At 38.6% G+C, this 18,700-nt stretch overlaps 2 long non-coding RNA genes across 5 annotated transcripts in view; one reads left to right on the top strand and one right to left on the bottom strand.

Moving 5' to 3' along the window:
• The window catches only part of LINC02253 (long intergenic non-protein coding RNA 2253), a 197,799-nt gene that overhangs the window by 15,496 nt on the left and 163,603 nt on the right, over positions 1-18,700 (bottom strand). For all 4 annotated transcript variants that reach the window (NR_183855.1, NR_183853.1, NR_183854.1 and 1 more), the window contains one exon: positions 5,317-5,403. This is a non-coding gene — a long non-coding RNA (long intergenic non-protein coding RNA 2253). The remainder of the gene's footprint in view (positions 1-5,316; positions 5,404-18,700) is intronic.
• Positions 1-18,700, top strand: part of LINC02254 (long intergenic non-protein coding RNA 2254) — a 151,441-nt gene that overhangs the window by 105,217 nt on the left and 27,524 nt on the right. The gene's annotated exons all lie outside the window — the stretch shown is intronic.

The following is an 18,700-nucleotide window of genomic DNA, read 5'->3' as shown; positions in this document are numbered from 1 at the left end:
TCAACCTGCTCCTGAATGACTATTGGGTACATAACGAAATGAAGGCAGAAATAAAGATGTTCTTTGAAACCAACGAGAACAAAGACACAACATACCAGAATCTCTGGGACACTGCTTTGAATGTTCAAAGCAGTGTGTAGAGGGAAATTTATAGCACTAAACGCCCACAAGAGAAAGCAGGAAAGATCCAAAATGGACACCCTAACATCACAATTAAAAGAACTAGAAAAGCAAGAGCAAACACATTGAAAAGCTAGCAGAAGGCAAGAAATAACTAAGAGCAGAACTGAAGGAAATAGACACAAAAAACCCTCCAAAAAATTAATCAATCCAGGAGCTGGTTTTTTGAAAAGATCAACAAAATTGATAGACTGCTAGCAAGACTAATAAAGAAGAAAAGAGAGAAGAATCAAATAGACACAATAAAAAATGATAAAGGGGATATCACCACTGATCCCACAGAAATACAAACCACCATCAGAGAATACTACAAACACCTCTATGCAAATAAACTAGAAAATCTAGAAGAAATGGATAAATTCCTCGACACATACACCCTCCCAAGACTAAACCAGGAAGAAGTTGAATCTCTGAATAGACCAGTAACAGGCTCTGAAATTGAGGCAATAATCAATAGCTTACCAATCAAAAAAAGTCCAGGACCAGATGGATTCACAGCCGAATTCTACCAGATGTACAAGGAGGGAGGTGGTACCATTCCTTCTGAAACTATTCCAATCCATAGAAAAAGAGGGAATCCTCCCTAACTCATTTTATGAGGCCAGCATCATCCTGATACCAAAGCCTGGTAGAGACACAACCAAAAAAGAGAATTTTAGTCCAATATCCTTGATGAACATTGATGCAAAAATCCTCAATAAAATACTGGCAAACCGAATCCAGCAGCACATCAAAAAGCTTATCCACCATGCTCAAGTGGGCTTCATCCCTGGGATGGAAGGCTGGTTCAATATACGCAAATCAATAAATGTAATCCAGCATATAAACAGAACCAAAGACAAAAACCACATGATAATTTCAATAGATGCAGAAAAGGCCTTTGACAAAATTCAACAACCCTTCATGCTAAAAACTCTCAATAAATTAGGTATTGATGGGACGTTATCTCAAAATAATAAGAGCTATCTATGACAAGCCCACAGCCAATATCATACTGAATGGGCAAAAACTGGAAGCATTCCCTTTGAAAACTGGCACAAGACAGGGATGCCCTCTCTCACCACTCCTATTCAACATAGTGTTGGAAGTTCTGGCCAGGGCAATTAGGCAGGAGAAGGAAATAAAGGGTATTCAATTAGGAAAAGAGGAAGTCAAATTGTCCCTGTTTGCAGATGACATGATTGTATATCTAGAAAACCCCACTGTCTCAGCCCAAAATCTCCTTAAGCTGATAAGCAACTTCAGCAAAGTCTCAGGATACAAAATGAATGTACAAAAATCACAAGCATTCTTATACACCAATAACAGACAGAGAGCCAAATCATGAGTGAACTCCCATTCACAATCGCTTCAAAGAGAATAAAATACCTGGGAATCCAACTTACAAGGGATGTGAAGGACCTCTTCAAGGAGAACTGCAAACCACTGCTCAATGAAATAAAAGAGGATACAAACAAATCGAAGAACATTCCATGCTCATGGGTAGGAAGAATCAATATCGTGAAAATGGCCATACTGCCCAAGGTAATTTATAGATTCAGTGCCATCCCCATCAAGCTACCAAGAACTTTCTTCACAGAATTCGAAGAAACTACTTTAAAGTTCATATGGAACCAAAAAAGAGCCCCCATGGCCAAGTCAATCCTAAGCCAAAAGAACAAAGCTGGAGGCATCACGCTACCTGGCTTCAAACTATACTACAAGGCTACAGTAACCAAAACAGCATGGTACTGGCACCAAAACAGAGATATAGATCAATGGAACAGAACAGAGCCCTCAGAAATAATGCTGCGTATCTACAACCATCTGATCTTTGACAAACCTGACAAAAACAAGCAATGGGGAAAGGATTCCCTATTTAATAAATGGTGCTGGGAAAACTGGCTAGCCATATGTAGAAAGCTGAAACTGGATCCCTTCCTTACACAAAAATTAATTCAAGATGGATTAAAGACTTAAACGTTAGACCTAAAACCATAAAAACCCTAGAAGAAAACCTAGGCAATACCATTCAGGACATAGGCATGGACAAGGACTTCATGTCTAAAACACCAAAAGCAATGGCAACAAAAGCCAAAATTGACAAATGGGATCTAATTAAACTAAAGAGCTTCTGCACAACAAAAGAAACTACCATCAGAGTGAACAGGCAACCTACAAAATGGGAGAAAATTTTCACAACCTACTCATATGACAAAGGGCTAATATCCAGAATCTACAATGAACTCAAACAAATTTACAAGAAAAAAACAACCCCATCAAAACGTGGGCGAAGGATATGAACAGACACTTCTCAAAAGAAGACATTTATGCAGCCAAAAAACACATGAAAAAATGCTCATCATCACTGGCCATCAGAGAAATGCAAATCAAAACCACAATGAGATACCATCTCACACCAGTTTGAATGGCGATCATTAAAAAGTGAGGAAACAACAGGTGCTGGAGAGGATATGGAGAAATAGGAACACTTTTACACTGTTGGTGGGACTGTAAACTAGTTCAACCGTTGTGGAAGTCAGTGTGGTGATTCTTCAGGGATCTAGAACTAGAAATACCATTTGACCCAGCCATCCCATTACTGGGTATATACCCAAAGGATTATAAATCATGCTGCTAGAAAGACACATGCACACATATGTTTATTGCGGCACTATTCACAATAGCAAAGACTTGGAACCAACCCAAATGTCCAACAATGATAGACTGGATTAAGAAAATGTGGCACATATACACCATGGAATACTATGCAGCTATAAAAAATGATGAGTTCATGTCCTTTGTAGGGACATGGATGAAACTGGAAACCATCATTCTCAGCAAACTATGGCAAGGACAAAAAACCAAACACCTCATGTTCTCACTCATAGGTGGGAATTGAACAATGAGAACACATGGACACAGGAAGGGGAACATCACACTCTGGGGCCTGTTGTGGGGTGGGGGGAGGGGGGGAGGGATAGCATTAGGAGATATACCTAATGTTAAATGATGAGTTAATGGGTACAGCACACCAACATGGCACATGTATACATATGTAAGAAACCTGCACATGTACCCTAAAACTTAAAGTGTAATAATAATAAAAAAATTAAAAAAAAAAATAAAAAAGAAAGAAATTCAAGATACGTAGTCTTGATTTCCTTAGAAAAATGATTACTTCATTAGTTCTAAGTGAGCATGGGATAGGAGGGATGGGGGCTTAAGGATTAAGGGTATTTAAAGCAGCCGAGGTTGAAGGCTGAGAGAAAACCAGGTTTGGGTGAGAGATTAGAGATGGGAGTAAGAGAAGAGAGAAAAGCAGAAATGCCCTGTGTGGGGTGCCCTCACAGAGCTCTGGACATAGCTTAGAGTAATTTTCAATTGAATGAAACATGGTCAGACTAGAGATATCCCTAGCCAGAAACCTAAGTGTGGGCTTCCTTCATCTCTGTGCACAAAACGTAGATACATCTTTGGTCTTCAAATGCCTTTACAAAGTCAGGCAGTGTTCTCTGTGGAGAGCTGGCTCGATTTTCTTTCACCTGGTCATAACCATTCAGAGTGTGCATACAGGATTACAGGAAGCTTTCTCTTCCCATACTAAGGCACAGCTATAATTGTCTGTTGCAAAGTAGAAGCCTGAATTTTTTTTTAATAGGAAATCAGAGTTAAGACCACTGTAACCACAGATTTATATGAAATAGAAATTACAACTGTTCATGATCTTTTAGATGCAAAGTTATCAATGAGACCTAATAAAGACTAGTGTTCTTTTTATGTCAATAGGCAAAATAGTACTATTTATTTCAGAAATTTCTCTAAACTTTCAGTGGTTTACATTTTTACCTGCCTCAGATAATGTATTTACCATTTTTGTTTTTTTAAAACCAAATTCATATGATGAATCAGTCTCACAATTTATAGTAAGATTAATTTTTTTTTGAAACAGTCTTGCTCTGTTGTACAGGCTGGAGTGCTGTGGCACAATCTTGGTTCACCGCAACCCCTGTCTCCTAAATTAAAGTGATTCTCCTGCCTCAGCCTCTAGAATAGCACCATGCCCAGCTAATTTTTGAATTTTTAGTAGAAATGGAATTTCACCATGTAGGCCAGGCCGATCTCGAACTCCTGATCTCGGGTGATCCACCCACCTCAGCCTCCCAAAGTTCTGGGGTTACAGGCATGAGCCACCCCGCTGGCGAAGATTAAAATCTTGTTATTATGTTTCCATATTACTGAATTTAATTGAACTGTTTTAGGGTCCTTTCTGCCTTCCCTGATAGAATAATTGTGTACACTGGAGAAAATTTCCTGGTTTATTACTGATTCTACACTAACTCAGTCCATTCTATGCTACCGTGAAGGAAGTCACAGCTCACACTTGTGAAAATGTACCCATTGACATTAATCACCATTTTATACTGCCCTAAATATATCAGATTAAACTTGGATGATTTTTTTTCTGCTATAAGGTAAAAGTTGTGTCCTTTTCACAACTTTTCACAACTGAAATGCTTAGTTCAATCTTATTTGTCCCTTGTGAAAAAAATGTAGAATTTACTACTCACAACATCCCTCACTGAATTTACGGCTTGCATAATGTTTCTGCTGTCTTACAATATTTCACAATAGTCAATTTAAAGATCTCATCAGCTGATGTAGCCCATTCTTACAGCTTGTTGTTAAAAACACTCAATAAACCACAAGTTGGAATAGAAGTCAGTGATATGCACTTCTTATAGAATAAAATAGCAACAGTAAAATATGTTGTCCTTTGCTAACATAATTCCTTCCTATTATCTCCACCACCCTTGTTTTCCTCTCTATAAACCTTATTTTGATGTCTTAAAATGTGGATAATCCCTAACTTTGGTTAGTACTCTTTGGCTCAAAAGAAATAGTTAAGGGCATAAATATCTGAACATTTGAAATACAGATTATGTTCAGAATCGAGTCTATGACTTAAAAACAAAATTTTGTGCAGCTATTCCACTATTATTCTGGAAAAAATGACACTGTATCTAGTAGGAAGCCAGAAGGGGACAAGCGCAGTACTGGCAGTGGGCCAGCGTTTTGTGTTAACTTCAAGAGCAGAGGTGATTTTTAATGCTTCAACATCATTCATGAAATATTATATATATAATTTGTACTTACAATAACAAGTGTGCTCTCCAAGGAAACATTAAAATAAATAGCTTCTTTAACTCTTTTGTACCTTGATCATATCTTATTTTGATGAACCTATAAAAAACGAAGATAAGATTGATGTTGGACAGATCAGTAGGGCAATCATGTAGTTTATTACATATTTATGACTCTGAAAGATCAAAGGATGTTTTTATGCACATAACTTGGCAAATGCATTTTGCCACGTTCAGATATGTTCCAAGTGACTTCAGTGGGGAAGTGAAAAGATCTGGCACTATGCCTGTAATGCTATTTGGCAAGACACTGAATGATGGTGGGATTCAAGAACACAATAACATACTGTATTACATGTATATGTACACACACTCTATATATGTATGCACACATTCACTGGTATATAGGAAACGTGTGACTGTATACACACTCTATGTAAATATGCTCAACTCTTACATAATCAAAGTAATTAGATGAAATAGTTATATCTGTGTGTATAGTAATATTTTGTACACTGAAAATGTTGACATTATTCTTCCTTATTGCAACAATTTCAAGAAAATTTTAATTACCGTTAATACATCACAGATGATTAACATAGTACTGCACACACTATAACTAATATTTTTGTATTTTTACTAGAGATGGGGTTTCACCATGTTGGCCAGGCTGGTCTCGAACTCCTGACCTCAGGTGATCTTCCCTCTTCGGGCTCCCAAAGTTCTGGGATTACAGGCGTGAGCCACCGTGCCTGGCCCCTACTTCCTGCCTTTAAAGTTGATTCTTCAAAGGTTGATTTACATTTGCAAAACATCATGGCTAAAATAATCAGAGGACAAACATTAAATGCTGACCAAAATAAGAAAACATACTAGATGTTATGTTAAAAATAACCAGAGGCCGGGCGCGGTGGCTCACGCCTGTAATCCCAGCACTTTGGGAGGCCGAGGCGGGCGGATCACGAGGTCAGGAGATCGAGACCATCCCGGCTAAAACGGTGAAACCCCGTCTCTACTAAAAATACAAAAAATTAGCCGGGCGTGGTGGCGGGCGCCTGTAGTCCCAGCTACTTGGGAGGCTGAGGCAGGAGAATGGCGTGAACCTGGGAGGCGGAGCTTGCAGTGAGCTGAGATCCCGCCACTGCACTCCAGCCTGGGCGACAGAGCAAGACTCCGTCTCAAAAAAAAAAAAAAAAAAAAAAAAAACCAGAAAGGTTTGCCATAAAGACATGTAACTTGGTCTAATTTTACAAAAACAAGATGACTGTTTGCTTGATTTTTCCTTTTAGTCTTTTTTATAAGTGAGTAATTTGGGAGGGCAGCTTGAACACCAAGTGGAACAGCACCTAAACACTGGTACTTCTTGCCTTGTGTTGGTACTCACACATGTGAAAGGTACAGGTTTGCATGAGATTTCCTACAATGCACACTGCATACATGTATAGAGACTAAGGCTAAGACAATGCTATTAGTTAGCCCCAGGGGTAAAAATTACTTCTTGCAAGTCATTCTGTGCATAAATGATACTCCAAGGTGTGAAAGCAGAATCTGTTCTTCAAATAGGATAGGTAAATGCAGATATTTGTGTTTGAGCTTCATAAGCTTGAAAATAAAGAATAATTCCAGATTATAATTTTATACTAATTGATTGACTCACACAGTTGAAGAAGGAGGGTATCAAAACGTCCTAATAAAGAACCTGTCAACATCATGGAGGGGAGTATCAGTATTACCTGGAGCTAGGGTGACTCAGGGCTTCTCGTTGCATGACTGTTGTTATTATGCATATATGTGTTATATTTGAATATGCGAGTGTGTGATGTGGTATAGTATAGCATAATTAAAATGTGCTTCATGCTCTGATTATCTGTAGAATAGTTTTTTATAAAAAGCTTAGTTGTTACTATTCACTGATAGAATTTGTGTTGCTCCAAAAAAATTATAATTTACAGATATAAATACGTGACTGTAGGTATAACAAAATATGTGCTCCAAAAACCCTAAAACATTTATTAGTGCTGTCACAGAATTAAGAAGACATTCTATAAATGAAAATTTGAACTAGAAAAGTACAAATTCCTCAAATTTTTATGACTTGAAATGATATTCCTTAATGTTCTTACTAGGGACTTTTTCCTTTTTTTTTTTTTTTCTTTTAGGCTTACTTGCTTCCACTTTTGTCAAATCCCAGTGAATCCCAAACTCTTTGTTAAACATAGACAGAAGTCTAGGCTTTAATGAAGAACCACATCCCCTCCCCACTAAATCCTTTCATTTAACATGCGCTCATATGATTATCAAGCAGTTGAGAGGGTATTAGCACTTACAAAAAAAACCCAGATTTTATTTTTACGTTTTTCACATATTTTATGGAGTATAGACCACACACCTATTAAAGGGCTTCTCTTAATATGATTTGAGATTTGTAGTCTTTCCTTAGGAGACCAACTCAGACTATGTCTTCCTACCTTTCAAAAAGCAATAGGCCACAGTGTTTAAGAGCATGATCTCTGAAGCCAGATTGCCTGGATTTGAATCCTGACCACTTAATCACTGTGCAAGCTTGAGTGAGTTATTGAACTTCTATGTGCCTCCATTTCCACAGCTGTAAAATTACGATGATCATAGTTGCTGCCTCAGAGAGTTGCTATGAGAGTTCAATGAACACTATATCTAAAATATCTAGAACAGTGTCAAGCAAATTGTTAACACAGCATGATAACCATGTCAAATTAATGCAGTTAGCTATAGGGTTCTCCAGATAGTGACATTCCCGGACCACTTCCCCTTCCTGCGTCCATCAGATATGTATTGAGTGCCTTCTGCATGCTGGATTCCACGTCAGATGGACCACACACACAGACTAGCAGGAGCCTATGCTCAAGGATACTGTTACGTCATGCTCTTCTTCTGGGATCTGGAACTCTAAATTCTTATACTGCCCCCTCTCAACAACAAAGAATAACTTTACAGTGATAAAGCCTGACAAAAAGTACCTTAGCCATGTGATCAAGGTTAACATCATCCATTATAAGCAATGTAGATAGCATGCATTCTTGTTATGTGATGAGAATCACATTTTACACCTGTGGTTTTCTCCCCAAAACCCATCACCACAATCAAATCATGGGAAAATCATCAAACAAATCCGTATTGAGGGACACTCCACAAAATGCCTCACTGCTACTTTTTTTTTTTTTTTTTTTTTTTTTTTTGAGAAGGAGTCTCACTCTGTTGCCCAGGCTGGAATACAGTGCTGTGATCTCGGCTCACTGCAACCTCCGCCTTCTGATTCAAGCGATTCTCCTGTCTCAGCCTCCCAAGTAGCTGGTACTACAGGTGCACACCACTACACCTATCTAATTTTTCTACTTTTAGTGGAGACGGGATTTCACCATGTTGTTCAGGACGGTGTCAATCTCTTCACCTCGTGATTAGCCCATCTTGGACTCCCAAAGTGCTGGGATTACAGGCTTGAGCCACTGCGCCTGGCCACTGCTACTCTTTAAACTGTCAAGGTCATCAAACACAAAACCTGAGAAATCGTCACAGCCAAAAGGAGCCTAAGGAGACATGATAGCTAAATGTGATATGAATGATAAGAATCTTGCATGGGACTTGGAATGGAACAAAAGGACAAAATAAATCAAACAAAGAAGGAGGTAGAAACTAAGCAAATCTAAATATAGATTTCATCTGAGTTTATTTAGTTAGTTAATACTGCATCAGTATTGGTTCATTCATTTTGACAAATGTGGCTATAATAATTTAAGATTTTGCCAATAGAAATAGTGTGGGATATATAGGAATTCCTTGTGCTATCTTAGCAGTATTTCTATAAATCCGAAACTATTTTAAAATTTTAATTTATTTATAAAATACCCCTCTCTGCCCCAGAATTCTGGTCATAAAATTATCTCAAATTCCAGGGGACCCGTGAATGGCCAAACCCTTAAACAAGAAAATAATCCCTTTTCTGTTCAAGGACTTTAGAAACAGACCCGTCCAAACAAAAATCACTGTCAATGATGCAGCTTTAACATTCTCCTACACATTAGTAATGGAAATGTAAATGGAGCTAAAGATTCAGGACCTCCATTTTAGAGTAATAATAAGAGCTAGCATCCACTGAGCCTTTATTATATACTAGCTCCATGTGAAACTCTTTTCATGGATTAGCTCTTGGAAGCTGTTCAACATCCTCCACAGTAGAGACTCTGATTGCCCCCAGATGGGAAGACCGTTTGCTCTTGTATCTGTGACAGGCTTGCCCCTGTGATGGTGCAGTTTTAATTCAATGCTGGGCTTCTAGAGGTCTCTCTGCTTTCCTTAAACTGAGTGCCCCCGTTCAGATGACTAAATGGCTATTCAACAAGTGCCTCCACTGGGCTTCCTGGCATAAGCTGTGTGACACTGTAACATTGCACAGGGTCTCCAGTGAGACCATTCACCTACAATGGAGAACAAGAACAGTCAGTCTTAATCCTACAGGCAAGAGTTCATAATACTATCTGCATGCCCCCACAAGGCAACAGAAGCATTTATCTAATGATTGTGGATACAGAAATAGCAAGATGGGGTCTACGTAGTTAGTGAATTCTGGAATTTTGAAAGTACACTGGAAACAAATCTCTGTTATTTCAATTAATAAGTCTCATAATCACTCTTAGTTGGTCCTGCAGAAAACACTGAGGAAAAAATGACTACACTGAGTCAAATCACCAGTTTACTTCAAAGCTAGACAAGAGCACAGTGTCCCACACTCAGAAGGAACCCCAGCTCAGTCCAATGCTCTGTGGGCATCATTTGGAAATTCCTAATAATTTTGGAACAAGGGGGTTCTGCCTTTTCATTTTGCAATGGACCCCACAAATCATATAGCCAGTCCTGTGTGTAAGTTTTACGTTTGTTTTTCTCAAATGAAATCTCAAGTGCTGCTTTTTAAATTATATCTACCAGTGTAGCTACACAATTTCGTCTTTGCTGAGTCTTCTTCCAAAAGACAGAGCTAGTCTTAAGAAAGTAAGTTTATTCTAATTCCTACATATAATGTCTCAAATCAAGCGGTGAAGTAACAGGACTCAACTCCTATCTTTCTATCTTTCTGTTACCTGTTTGCAAACACTGAGTTCAAAGCCTGGGCAAGTAGACACATTGAACCTGTGGTGAGATCCTAATCACAGATACAGACACTGTCAAACAAACCAAGAGAAAGTCATCAATGCACGGCTATTTTCCTATCTGGCCTGGTCTAGAAGACTGAATGCCCCAGTGGTTGGCCTACAATCACAGTGCAAAATTACAGAACTGAGAGTGGTTCAGGAGAAAGTATCCTATACAATCATGTGGCAGAAATATTTTAAGGCCATTTATCTGCAACTGACTTTATACCCACCCGAGCCAGGCAAATTCTGATCTCCAAATTTGCCAAGAGATGAAAATAAATTCCCTTTATTAAAGAGAAGTTATGGACAAACATTAGCAAAGGATTATTAAACGGAATCACACATAGACTTTGTACACACCGAAGGAGCCCAATACTAGTAGTTTTGAATTTAACCAGGCAAAATTCTCATCACACCAATGAAAGTGTTATTTTTTGTTTGTTTCCTGCAGAAAAACTAAAACCAGGAATAGATATTTCTACCAGTATTTTTACAATGCTTCATCATCGAGAAAAGTATAAAGAAATCTACTGAGAATGCCATCAGAGTGAAATGTCTTCCTTAAATATAAGAATTTTCTGAGTGCTGCTAATGCATTCTATTTAAAGAAGCCGATTTTAGAATCACCTGCCTAATGGAGAGATTTGGTTATTTCCACTCTGAATTCAACTACAGAATACACTTTTTTTTTTTTTTTTTGCTCTTGGCTTTGGCTTTACAGCAGCCTCTAATTCTTACTCCTACAAATATCCCTACTGCCTTCTTGGGCTTTCTCTCTCCCTTCCTATTGTGTCCTCCTGAGGTCTCTGCCTCTCCCTGGAGAATCTCGGGGCCAGGGCTTGCTTTGGTAGCCGAAGGCCCCTAATGAGAGTAGCACTGACATCCCAGCCTCTAAGAAAGTGCCTTGTCTGCGTGGTCATCTCAGAGTATGCTTGCAGAGGGTATCTTCTCACCCCTGTCAAGAGCTTTTGTTGAGTTCAAAACCTTATTACAATTAGACTGGAAAAGCCTCACCGGGTTATTTAGATGTTATCTCTGCTGGCAGAGAAATTTTCTGCAACATAGCCTGTAAAACTTCTTGTAAACTAAAGCTAATTGGCAGAGAATCCTCTGGTGTTCTAGAGATAATTGTGGGACACTGTCAGGAGGTTTCCTTTGGGTTTACAATGGGATAATAAAATATTTTTTTTCTTAGCTTGCTTTCTTCTTCTTTTTTTTTTTTTGGTCTCGACTCTCTCTATTTATCTTGATTCTTCCTCTATGAGATTTTTCAAATGTCCTACCACAGAACAGAGACCAATTTCACTCATTTGTAAAAATTAACTAGTTTCATGTTCTACATGTGTCAATGTATCTGCCAAGCTCAGCTTCCACTTCACCCCTAAGCAGATAGTCTTTTGGGCTGTTGTCTACAGCAGATGGATTTGATGGGATTGCCTATTACCAATGGGAACCAATTAATAAGCTCATAAAGGGCCCAGGATACATACTACTCCTCCTGAAAGGGAGGAGTGACTTCAATTAGATTTTCTTTCTTGGAAGTTTGAATTAGAAGATGCAAAGGAACTAGATGGTAGTGGGGGGAGGTGAGAGATCCCCATGCAGAATTAAAGGTGCTGGCCATACATATATATGCAAGAGAAAGAAAAGAATAGACACTTGTGGGGAGAAAATCAGAACTGTGAATAACCGTGAGAGACCCAGAGAATAGCCACAGCTCTTCTCTTTCTGATTATATTGTGTAGAAGTTCTACCGGTTGTTTATTTCATGTCTTTCCATTCAATATGATCTTTACGGAACCAATGTGGAAGAAGCTTGTATAATACTCTATCCTTCTTAGCTGAGCTTACTCAACTGAACTATTTTTAAAATGTTTGACTATTTAACTGGGACACTGAGACACAAGGTAGGAGTAGAGGTCCTGTCCTCATTTTCTGCTGAGAAACAGGGAAGAAAAAAATGAAGACAAGGTATGGATTTCCTGTTGGGAACACGATGCATGTGGTGCCATAATCAAATTTACTTCTCACACAACCTTAGAACGGGGGTGCAATTATACCCCTACTAGGTGAGATTGGGTGTGTTCAGGGTGGTATAGGTGAAGAACATGCCCCTATTTGATGTGAGGAAACTGAGATTCGAAATGTTAAATTATCTGTCCAAAGTAATTGAAGAGTCCAAGATTTAAACAATTTTTTTCCAATTTTAAATCTCACAGTATTTTCATTATGCAATGTCACTTAACTACAATAACAAGGTAAATGCAAAAAGAAGAGAGAAAGAAAAAAAAAGGAAGGAAAGACAGAAGGAGAGAAACAAGCACTGACTGAGTCCTTACTACATGCAGGATGCTTTACATGTTACTTAATTCAGTCTTCACGACAACATGTAGAACAGAACTGACATTTGTATTTTTATATATGAGAAAACTGAAGCTAAGAAAAGTCATGAAAATTACATAGCAAAGGGTGGAGCCAAGATTTATGCTAAGCCAAATTGACTGCTATACATCAGCTTCCACTAAACTGTGGCTTGGTCCTGGAGAAGCATCCATGCCAGAACAACAGAACAATTATAGATGCATGCGTACCTTGAACAAATATAGAGTGAACAATGTAGATGTAGGTACAAACAAAATGTGAGTTTGGAGGGAGCCATCATAACACAGACACATTCAAAACACTTATGGAGTCTGGAAACAATGGAAGAGCATGGATGCCCAAAACAATGGAGGAAGCCATGGACTGTGCCCACCCAGCGGACACTGCAACACACAAGCAGCCAGTGGACTAGCAGGACTCCCAGAATGATACTGAGATGACAAAGGCAGCACGTGCTAATGTACAATGTGCTCATCACTTCTACACATTATTGTATATTTCCCTAGGTTTTCTGAGGAATGGGTAAATCTGATAGCTGATAGGGTTTGGATCTGTGTCCCCACCAAATCTCATGTCAAACTGTAATACCTAGTGTTGGAAGCGGGGCCTAGTGGGAGGTGATGGAATCATGATGGGGCGGGGGGTGGTGGTTTCTCCTGAATGGTTTACCACCATGCCCCTTGGTAGTGTCCTCAAGATAGTCAGTGAGTTCTCCTGAGATCTGGTTGTTTAAAAGTATGAAAGTGTGTAGAGCCTCCCCCCTGTCTCTCTTCCTCCTGCTCCAGCTGTGGAAGATGTGCTCGCTTTCCCTTCACCTTGCACCATGACTGTAAGTTTCCCGAGACCTCCTCAGAAGCAGAAGCCACTGTGCTTCCTATACAGCCTGCAGAACCATGAGCCAGTTAAACATCTTTTCTTTGTAAATTACCCAGTCTCAGGAGTGCGAGAATTGATTAATAAAATGGTATATTTATAATAAAATGTTTCTTTGAGTATAAGTCTGTTTCCATTCACTAATACAAATTATAATGACCAGATTGACAGGTGTTGAATGTTATCTATGTGCCAACCTCTTCAAACATTTATTGTAATTTATTCTCATCAGGATTGCTAGTATCCCTATTTTTAGAAGCAACAACTAAAACTCATAGTGGTTGGAGAACTTCTCTAAAAGCATGTAACTATTACACATAGAGACAGGGTTCCAGCATCATCAGACCTGACTTCCAATCTAGTGCTCTTTCTACTATTCCTCAATTATTATCACTGCTACTAGGCACTAGACAGATGACAGACATTTCCACCTTCTATTGTATGGTGCATAAGCCATGCAATGTAATAAGGAGTCAGTATGAAAGTTTTGCATTTCTAGGTTTTCATTAACATAAAAAACATCATGCCCTTCTACCTTAACTAACTAAATAAAATAAAGTGTGTGTAAAACCAAAATAAATTCAGCTGCTTGCAGAGCACTTGGCACATAGTAGGGACATAATAATTACTTGCTGAATAAATGCATGAACAATTCAGAGAACTCTTGACTGAATGTTTCTTTTCTTTAACTTGCCTATTCAGCATAATCCCACAGATTTTGAGCCAATTATTAATGTTGGAAACGCGTTTAAGGGAACAATGCTTTTGAACACAAAGAACCAAGTCACTTTGGTGTGTAGTGGTGAAGCCTGAGCCTTTTGTCCCTCTGCAGGCAGTTTACTATTAAGCTTGCTGATTAGCTAATCAGCAATTAATTTAATTATTAATGCTATTTACATATTTGGATTTTTGCTATCATTGAGCAAACCCTGCTACCCTCCCCTTGCTTTGAATTTTAAAATTTAAAAAAGGGTTAAGAAGAGAGAAGATAAGTGACAAATGAGGCTATGAGACGCCAAACAAACCAGAGTGACTTGTAATGAGAGATTACACATAAAGGCGAAAAGGAATTACATGGAAGCTGAGTGAAGGATGGACTATTTCTCTGTAGGGACTTCTAAACTTTGAGGTAGAGACTATGTATAAATGCACATCTGTACATAATTTATAACAAAACCTGGGAGCAAGCGCAGCTGCTGGCTAAAGCCCACATGTCCCCATAATTTCCATGGTAGTTGGTGGCAGTAGGGGAGGGGTCACAGAATTTTTTAGCATCTTTGATCTCAGTTTTGTTTAGCCTGAAATTCAGCTGAAAATGCTGCACTTCAACTAAATATTAACGTGCACTCTCCAGTAAGAACAAAAAAGGTATAAATTATGTCTGATTGAACAAACACAACCCCACTGTTGAACAGCCAGTCAATGGAGAGGGCAGGGAGAGGCAATGGAGCAAGGTAATGTGTAATCTCACCAGTCAATGGACTGTGGGCAGGCCTGGGCAGCCCATCGCTGGAGGTGTCAGGGAGATAAATAGCAGAGTGTCCTCCTCAAAAATATGATTAATACCCTACTCGGTCCACTGCTGAAGATGCAGTGGGTGCAGCTGGTCTGGACAGCAGTTGCATAGAGGGAAAATCCAGGATGATCGCAACAGAGCAGAGAGGGCAAAGAGGAGGACAAACAGCCACCTGACTGGGGATGCTGAGGCCTGGAGGGTGGGGCGGGGTCTTCACTGGCCAAAGGTCTTTGCAGGCTGTGGCTTAAGTAATGCTTAGGGCCCTGTCATGCCTGTGTGCCTGAGCCCCAGAGGCCATTGCATTGAGGGAAAAAGACAAGCTGGAGTTGAATGTTTGTGGAATAAACAATGATCTTGAAGAACTGTGATATTTATGATATAAGTGCTGTGTGAGCAACACGCTGTCTTCAAACTATTTAATTCTCACAGATTAGTGTGAGGTAATGGGAGAGAGAACTCCTCTTCTTCAGGTGGAGAGACTGAGGTCCAGAGAAGTGAAGTAACTTGTTCAAAGCCATGTCTTCAGTAGGTGGGACAGGGATCCAGAACTCACAAACTTTCTCGCCAAACCAAGCTGACTCCCCAGAGATTTGAAAACAAAACAAAATCAAAAAACCCTTTGATCAGAGTTCATCTTTGGCCATTTACTGCAGTTTCCTCTTATCATCTCTTCTGCCCCTTCCTTTAAAGGGTTTTGGTCAGACTTTTTTTCTGATTTTCTGTTTCTTTATAGACAAGGATGTCAACAAAGGATTTTCTAAAGTTTTTAGCTCTATGGTCACTTAGTTTGTTACACACACACAATCACACGATGGTAGTGACAAGCAAATCGATATGTTCTCCTATTTCACTGGCAGAAGACAGGAGAACTTTCTGCTCTGGGGCAACTATGACTGCCATATTTTCCTCCTCAGGTAATTCCTCCTGAGTGGTCAAGATACTACAATGTTAATAAGGCCAACACAAAACTTGTCCTGGCGCACTACAACACCAGGATGGTGTGAGACAACAGGAACACAGAAGGGAGGTCTACTTAAACCTGGAATTATTGGTTTACTGCCTGCTGTTCTTAAATGTAGTGAACTGAAAGCAGAGTTCTACAAAACTTAATATTGAAATTCCAGAAATGAAAAAAATAAAGACAAATATTTGAAGTCCAATCCAAGTTAACTCTAATCAAGAATTGGTCTTATATTACACTTTATAAGTGTGGGATGAATCCCAAAGAAATGGGTGAAACATCAGAAGGTGAGAAGGAGTAACAGAAAAGCTGAGGTATCAAGTTGACAATACAATCTAATAGACAGTGATCACTGTGTATCTGTTTCTGAGGAAATGGAAAGATGTTGGAGGGAAAACATTATCCAATAATCCAAAGGGTTTCAATGATTTGATCTCAGTAATCAGAATTGTTATGATAATGTATTTATCATGTGTCATAGTTTATATTTTTCAAGGTCCCTCCACAAGTGACTTCCAGTATATCTTTATTGGTTTCATATCCAATACGGCTTTCCATACTGTCATGTACAAAGTGGTACTTTGTTAAATGCTGATTCTTATTTATTAGTGGGGCCTGAGATTCTGCATTTCTTAAAAGCTCCCAAGGCATGTGGATGTCACATGTAATACATTTTGAGTATCAAGGCTCCATCATACCTCTTGGATGGTAAAACTGAGCAAACACACAAGTAGTAGTAGGTAGCAGAGCCAGAATTTGAACTCAGAGATGCTTGACCAGAAAACTCATACCTCCCTGGCATATCACTGCCCCTCAGATGACGGTATGTCACTCAGTTCCAAAAGAGTTTTGACCTCAGTTGCAAAAGCAGTAGGAAATAGGAAATTAAGTTTCTGAAGTGACAATGTTCATCTCAGGTCAGAGTGACCTCTTTGTAAGGTCTCCAACATCTCTTTGATGTTGTGCCTCTTTGTGCCCTCTGAAGAGATGTTTAAACAAATTCCCTGCTATAGAGATAGCCAGGTAGGACCACCACTACAGAGCAGAGTAGTTCCTCCTGGACACACTCATAGTTGTTTAGAGTCAAAGTGTTTATCGACACAGTCTAGAGGGCAAGAGCTTGCCCAAGCGCCCCTAATCTGGCCATGGTGGAGATCTTCATGCACCCTACATTTCTAAAGTTGGTTTCACACCACGCTCCCCCACAATCTTTTAAAGCTTTACCAAAACAGGAAATGAAGGTTATGCTGACGTGACCCTAAAGCCACCACTCCACCAAGGCCACCAAGGTAACTGCAATACATTCATTAAAGGTAAAGCCAATGGCCACCATTTCGTGTCATCTTCTTGTTCTGGACTTAGTCAGACATGTCTGCATATTGCAAACAGCCAAAGGATGGAAATATAAGTAATACATTATCTGATCATAAATTATTTCTACTGTTTCACACTTTGTATCACAGCAATTCTTGCTAGATTTTATATCTATCATTAGATTATTCATTTTTTCATGCTTACCACAAATATTTCTTAATTCTCCAGCCTAAGCCACAATCTTGAAATGTGATAAAAAATTATGTATCTATTACTACATATGCATAAACAGATATATAATAATATGTAGTAAAATATAAATACACATTTATGCATGTTTGTGTACGTACAATTATTTTCCACTCAGTTTTAGTATGAAAAAAGAATAAAATAAATAAATGAGTGGTTTTGTTGCCAAATTAGTTTGGGAAGTATGCTTTATACCTTCTTAAAAAATCAAAACAATGTGAAAACTCTTATGGTAAAGAAATTTATTTAACATTATTTAGTTTTGCATTTCTAACAAGTATTTAAGTTTTGTTTGTTTGTTTTTACTTCCTGTTTATAAAAGGCTCACAGAATAGTGCTCTGTAGACCCTTCCTCAGGAAATGAATCTTGTATCAATGAGTCTATTTCTGGTTTATGGTATATGTAGTATAATACAGTAGACACACTTGAATTTGGTTTTGATCAACTGCAATCTTTTAGATCGTTGCAACAATGAAACATTTTATTTGTAGAAGTGTGAGATAAATTGTATCCTTTCACATTTTCTATTTTGGACATTCCCTGAAATAAGTGTGTTTCTAATCAGTTGCTTCCTTTCACCAAAAAAAAAAGGAAAGAAAAAATACGTACGATGTTCAAGAGACTTTAAATAAAGTGTAAGGTAATTTTTTTTCTCAGAATTTAGCCTGATACGTGCATCACATGCACATCACACAAATGACACAATACATGATTAACATGACACCATACATGATTAACATGACACCAAAGATGAGTTACCATTTTTAGAAATGTAAGAAGAATTTATTTATCATGATACAAGGTATCATATGAGAAAATTATGTAAATATTATCAGAACTGTTCATTGAATTCATCTCATTAATGTCACAGGTTTGGAGCGATCATCTAACCTAGCCTTTCAGTTCCCAGGTGTCCAAAGACTAGAAATGACACAC

Source organism: Homo sapiens, chromosome 15 (genome assembly GCF_000001405.40).
Source record: "Homo sapiens chromosome 15, GRCh38.p14 Primary Assembly".
NCBI classification, from domain to species: domain Eukaryota; kingdom Metazoa; phylum Chordata; class Mammalia; order Primates; family Hominidae; genus Homo; species Homo sapiens.
Note: the sequence above shows the minus strand (reverse complement) of the source record. Positions and strands in the feature narration are given on the sequence as shown.